This window comes from Homo sapiens, chromosome 16, assembly GCF_000001405.40.
Source record: "Homo sapiens chromosome 16, GRCh38.p14 Primary Assembly".
In the NCBI taxonomy this organism is placed as follows: domain Eukaryota; kingdom Metazoa; phylum Chordata; class Mammalia; order Primates; family Hominidae; genus Homo; species Homo sapiens.
The window spans coordinates 17,566,174-17,572,968 of record NC_000016.10 but is presented as its reverse complement, the minus strand read 5'-3'; the positions used below and the strand labels follow the sequence as shown (position 1 = coordinate 17,572,968).

At 43.0% G+C, this 6,795-nt stretch overlaps 1 annotated feature.

The window, feature by feature from the left end:
• Nucleotides 485–1,684: an enhancer, noted in NCBI's record as "P300/CBP strongly-dependent group 1 enhancer chr16:17665142-17666341 (GRCh37/hg19 assembly coordinates)". NCBI's record gives its function as "activates an origin of replication core promoter dependent on BRD2, BRD4, P300/CBP, MED14 and CDK7 cofactors, with strong dependence on P300/CBP, by STARR-seq in HCT116 cells {active_cell/tissue: HCT116}" and the evidence as "EXISTENCE:reporter gene assay evidence [ECO:0000049][PMID:35650434]".

Genomic DNA, 6,795 nt, shown 5'->3' with positions numbered 1-6,795 from the left:
CCCTTTGTAACCTAAATCCCAACAGAAGTTGCACTTCCTTGGGGTCCAGCATACCCAACAGTGTTTTGTCCTTGACCTTGCAAGATTTTAACTCTAGTACTCCTGCAATCAGTCATTGCTCTCTGGAACACGAGTATGGTATTAGGGTATCTGTGCCTGCTAGAGCTTTCTACATCAGCCAAAATATACCCAAAATATCTCTTCTCTGTGAAAGCATAGAATCTATTGTTGAGCTGAGTACTATAATTATCCTAGGTCTAGAACACGGCTAGGACTCCCTTGTTCTTTCTTCTTATTTCAGGCATCTTGTTGCCCTTCCCTGCCTCTTTGGTTTGGTCAGACCCCCTGGTCAAACTGAACACAACTTGTTAACTTTACCAAGTTCTTCTCAGGGAGAAGAAATGGCAGAGATTTGCTTCCTGTTGAATATCAATCCCACAGACTTACACTTAAGTCACAGAAGCATCCTGGGTCCAACGGAAAAACTACATCTCCCAGCTCCCCTTGCAATAGGAACAGCTAATGAGATGGGAGTGGAGGCCATTCTATGGGGTTTGGGAAATGTCTGTTGGCATCTTCTTTTTGCTTCTATCTGGAGGCCAGACTTAGGCTGGCAACCTTTACCAGGAAGTGACCTTAAGGGTAGAAAGCATGAGGTAAGTATATTGGAATGGAAAGATAAGAAGGGTTTGGGTCCCTGGTGGACAAGGAGCTACTGTATTGTCTCTGGACTGCCTTTAATTCATCTTTTAGCCAGACTTCTCAAACTTTCTTGTGCACATGAGTCACCCAAGGATCTTGTTAAAAATGCAGATTCTGTTTTATTAGGTCTGGGGTGGAGCCTGGGTGTCTGCATTTCTCATAGAATTCCAGGTAAGGGTTACCAGATAAAATACAGACCAGCCAGTTAAATTTGAATTTCAAATAAACAGCAAATAATTTTTTAGTATAAATATGTTCTAAGTATTGCACGAGGCACACTTCTGCTTAAAAATGTCGGCGTAAGTAGGACCCAGTTATTGCTCGGTGAGTCAGCAGGTGAGCTTCCTTTTAGGTGTGGCAAAAATGCATAGCAGCAGGGCCTTAGAGTACATCGGAGCTGGTGAATTTCCAGTGGTTGGAGTTTTTTAGTATAGGTGATAAGGAAAGAAAAAATGTCACTCAGTCTGAGTCAGGTTTTAAAAAAACGAGTCAATGGAAAAGAAAGGAAAAGTTGCATGAGAGACTTGGGCTCCAAATAAGATGCACAGCAGGTGGCTGAGCAGTGGCTGGGGCATTGGTCCAACTAGGACAGAGACTCTCTCTGCATCTTGGGGTTGGTTTTTATCCTGTCTTTGCTTCTGTCTGCCTATATGGCCTGTTCTACTCACTGTGAACCAGCTTCTCCTTTTCCCACTCCTCAGTTTCTGATCTTGTATATTTCCAGATTGCCTGTGGTTTTGCCATTACACCAGCCCCAGTCCCAGTTCTCCTGCAATCACTGGAGCAATAAGGTGTCATAACTGAAGGCATGGACTCTGGATTCACATGCAGGTGCTCCACTGTTGGCACAACCATGGAGAATGCATCCTCCTTTCTGTGCGTCAGCTTTCTTGCCTGTAAAATGGGGAGACGATATCCTGCGTAGGAGTGCTGTGAGCTTGAAATAAGGTGATATATGCAACGGTCTCAGAACAGGGCCGGCACAATGTCAGCACTAAATAAGTGCTAGCTGTTATCACAGCATAGCTTCTGACTTCAAGTTCCCGCAGTCTCTGAGAGTCTTAATTTAAAACCTCGAGAGGAGAAGGATCTGGTTGGTTCAGCTCTGTAAGGCTGCCAGGGCACAGGCTGTGAGGAGGATAATGATGTCTTTGAGAAGAGAAGGGAGACTTCGGTGTGGTGGGATCCCAAAGAACTTACAGCTGACCTTTAAACAATGCAGAGATTAGGGATGCAAACCCCATACACAGTTGAAATTTGACATGTAACTTTTTGACTCCTCAGAGTCTTAACTATTAATAGCCTACTGTTGACTAGAAGCCTTACCAATAACATAAATAGTCAATTAATACATACTTTATATGTTACATGTATTATATACTGTATGCTTATAATAAAGTAAGCTAGAAAAAAGAATTTATTAAGAAACTCATAAGTAAAATATATTTACTACTCATTAAATGGAAGTGGATCATCATAAAGGTTTTCAGCCTTGTCATCTTCACGTTAAATCAAAGAGCAGGAAGAAGAAGAGGAGTTGGTCCTGCTGTCTTGGGTGGCAGAAGTGGAAGAGGTGGAGGAGATGGAAGGGAAGGCAGAAGAGGCAGGCACACTTGGTGTAAATTTTATTGAAAAAATTCAAGTATAAATGGACATGAACTTCAAGCACACACTCCAAGCCTGTGTTGTTCCAGAGTCAACTGTATTTGGGAACAGCACCCTAGAGAGATGCCACTGAGCATTTTGAAGAACACATAGTCCATTTCCAGGTAAGAAGGGGTAAGATCATTCCAGGCAGAGGGAAGACTTCCAAGCGAAGGTAATGAAAAGTGTCAAAGAGCTTGCTGTCCTCTTGGAGTTTCAAGATAGCCCAGAAGTATAGAGGTGCAACGAGAAGAGGATCAGAATGAGAAAAGGGTGAGAAGTCAATAGGCAAGATGAAGAAAGCCTTCTATTGCCAAACTCGGGAGCTTTAACTTCAATCTGTGAGCTAGTGATCCCAGGCTGGAGCCCAGGAACCTCACAAGATCCCTGATTCTTGATCAGAGGTCTGTGAGTTCATATTGAGGACTTTTCTTAGAAAACTTCTGCACACATGGTGAGTGACTTAGGACAAGTCAACATAACCTCTCTCAGCCTCAGTTTTCTCATCTGTCGTATGGCATTAATACTAGTGCTGGCCTTACAGAGTTGTGAGGATGGAATAAGTTATCACAAGCCAAGTTCTTAGAACAGTGCCTGTCACATAGTAGTTGCTCAACAAATGCTAATTATTGTTGTATTCTTTTTATTTCATTGATAGTTTTTAAATTAATGTAGGCATTTTTAGTTTATCTAGGTGGCCTATTTATAACCTGACACTGCAATGCGATTTCAATGCCCATGCTTGCATGTTTATTTATGATACCATTGGTGCCAATTAGTATGTCTTTCAGCATCATGGGTTAATGGGAAAAGATCGGAGGTGGATTTGATCTACAGAGGGTGATTTTGTACCAAGTAAGGTTCAAAGAGTGTCAGGTCATGGTGTTCAAACAAACATATCCCAGCTGGGTCCCGAGTAAGGATCTAAGCCATGTGGGGACCAGAGCATGAAGAAGCACCTCCATGAGAAATAACCCACTTTGCTGCAGCCAACCCAAGGCCATAATCACTCTGCGAGCGGCATTTTAGTTTTGGCAAAACGAACTCATCTGTCCCATTAAATGAATGTTGTTCCTTTGAATTTTATTGGTTCTATAGTCTTATCGTTTTAATTTATAAGTGTGGTTTTACCATTGTATAAGAGCTATTAGCACACAAAGTTTACGCCGAGTTTTATGTTGGCACATACTTAAGCAACAGTATAGTAAAAATAACTGAAGTCAATACCAGGAGTCTGCAATTTGTATTACTATTATTAGTCACATTTGAGAATATGATGGCGGGAGGGTTTAAGTTGGGGCGTGGCATGATTTCGTATTTCAGAAAGCTCTGGCATAGGTGTGGGGAGGATAGAAAGATGGGAGCAAGAGCTGTTGTCTCAGCACATGTTTCTGTAAGAAACCAACAACCTCGTGGAATTAACAATACATTATTTTTTCTGAATCTCTGTATAGGGAGTAGAGTTAGCAACTGTCATGGGTTGCCTGGGACCAGGGATGGCTTCATGAGTGTGTAACTTGTGCAGACACATAGGTCCATAGGTCCCCATGGTCAAAAGGGCACCTTATTTGGTTTAACACCCTGTTGTCACAATCTTGAAAATCTTCATCATTTTTGAAGAAGGTCCCTGCATTTTAATTTTGCACTGGACCCTGCAAATTATGTAGTCAGTCCTTCCTGGACTGAGGAATATCCCAAGACATGGGACATTCAGTGCTAAACTGAGACAGTCTCAGGCAAACTGGGATGATTGGTCACCCTAACTGCCATGCAGGGCCCAGGGCATGAAAAGAACTGGTTATCTTAATAGGATATCTGGCGGTTTTACTCCCAAGTTCCTGGCCACTCCCAGAGGGGGCACCTGGCAAAGAGTTTGTGCTGAAGCCCTAGGCCTAAACAATGTGCCCAGGCCAGGCTCAGGGTGCTGGCCTTGACAGGGTGTCAGAGATGAAGGCTAGGCAGTTTCTAAGGGGGCTGCTTCCTGCAGAGGTGGGGCTAGAGACACCTGGGGAAGCAGCCGAAACTCATTTTGCCTTGAGAAGGAGCCAGCAGGATTAGGGTGGCGATGGCGTGGCTCTTCATAAATTGTTGTGATGCACGGAAGAAAACAGTATTGGGACACGTCCCCTGGCAGGTTTGCTTTCTCCAAGCATGAGACATTCACAGAAATTCCCCGCCTACCTTGAGAAGTCAAAGTTGCTGCTTCATCTGCAGGAAAACCCCAAGCAAGAGAAGGGCCTGGTACCTTCCTAGCCAGCTCTCAAGTTCAACCCGGATTTACAGCCTGCTGCTTATTATTTCAATGAAATTATAGTGGAAATAATTCAATTTCAATTATTTCAATGATAGGCAGGTCAATTCCAGGTCATGGATGAGGTCAGTTCCAGGTCATGGATGAGGCAAGGAAGAGGAGGAAAAAAGTAGCTGATCTGTTAGTTTCAAGGGGCAAGATCCAAGGAAGCTCCAATGAACAGAGATGCCAGGGTCATGGGAAGCAACAGACGTAGAAGCCCCAGGCCAACTACTTCTCTGTCATTGCAACGAAAATGCGTTGCCTTTCCCGAAAGATCCTCTTAGCCCCGCCATGTGAGCCAGAGTCAGTTATCTTCTGAGGTTAGACCAGTCTCTAAAATGGGGATGGGTAACTTGATCCAAGAAATGCTGGATGAAAACTGTGAGAATTTCTACTGAATTTTACTTTCTTTAATCTCATGCTTTCAGTCTCTTTCTTTGGCTTGTGCATTATCATATGAAGAGTATATAATTCAATGTTTAAATATAAAATCAATCTAATACTGGGGTGCCCATTCACTTTTTTGGAGGGAGGTGTTCATGATCGAAAATATTTGGAGACCCTTGGCTCAGAGGCTTTAAGCCTTGAAAGCGAAAGGGGCTTCTCAAGCTGTTTTTTCCTCCCCACAATTCAGCAGACCATGTGCACTGACTATGCGTCAGACATTGCGTAAGAACAGTGAAGAGCCACACGCGTGACCTGCATCCCTCCCATCCCCCCCATCCCCCCAGGGAATCTCCAATTGCAAAAATATTTATTAAGCACTTTGTATGCACTTCCTGGTCTCTTGCATGTCCAATCCGATGTATGAGACCAGGACATGCATAAAAGGTGCTTAATAAATATTTTTGCATAAAATAATGAGGGTGGAGTTTGAAAGATAGGTGAGGAGTTATTGGAAATATACAGAGTGAGAAAGGCATTTTAGGCAAAAGAAAGAATTTGAGTGAAAAATATGGAAAAAATAGTATTTACTATGTGGTTTAGAGAAAAACTTGAGTAATGTGAATGAAGTTGAGGTGGTTTGAATGGCAGATGACTTAGTGAGGAGTGGAGGGAAGATAAAGGAGGAAAGGTATGTTATTGCCTAGAACAGTGCCTGGAGCATGTTGGTGTTTAATAAATATTTGCTGAATGAATGAAGAAGGAGATGAATTAAATGTGACCGTAAATGCCAGGCTAAGGAATTTAAATTTAACTCTAGAAAATGAATAGACATAATAGTAATACTAGCTAGCATTTCTTTCTTTTTTCTTTTTTTTTTTGAGACAGTGTCTCACTTTGTCACCCAGGCTGGAGTGCAGTGGTGTGATCATAGTTCACTGCAGCCTCGAACTCCTGGGTTCAAGCAATCCTCCTGCCTCAGCCTCTTAAGTAGCTGGGACTACAGGCACATAACACCGCATCCAGCTAATTTTTTAAAAATGTTTTTGTAGGGACGGAGTGTCACTATGTTGCTCAAGCTGGTCTCAAATTCCTGGCCTCAGGCAATCCCTCTACCTTGGCCTCCCAAAGTGCTGAGATTACAGGCATGAGCCACTGCGCCCAGCCACATTTATTATCTTAACTAGTCTTGAAAATGGAGGTGATCTGCCCAGACCTTCACTTTGAGAAAGTAGGGCGATGGTGCATATTTTGGGTTAGAGTGGAGGGACACTGAAGTCCAACACAGTCTCTGCTCCAGTGGAATTAAATTCCATTGTTGGAGACGGTCAAAGAAACATAAATGCACAGAAAAAGAAGAAAATATAATAGACGATCAGGGCTATGAAGGAGAAAACATCGTCCTATGAGATATATAAATATTAGGAATCTATCAAGAATGGGAAGGTTTCCCTGAAGAAATCATTGTTAGGGCAAGAATGGAAGATTTAGAATAAGTTTTCCAGGCAAAGAGTGAGGGAAGGCACTTTTGAGGCAGAGGGACAAGCTGATGCAGATGCCCTGAATTGACAAGGTTTTGGCAAACTGGAGAAACCAAACCAAAATAAAACAACAACAAGACTTATGTGTGGGAACCTTGTGAGTCATATGGGGAGAGTGGCCCAGGTTGAGGCAGGAAGCAGGCAGGGACCAGTTGGGCCAGGCCTGGAAGGTCTTGCCGAAGATTTTGACTCTTATCCAAAGAACAGGTAGAAGTTATGGCAAGGGCTAAT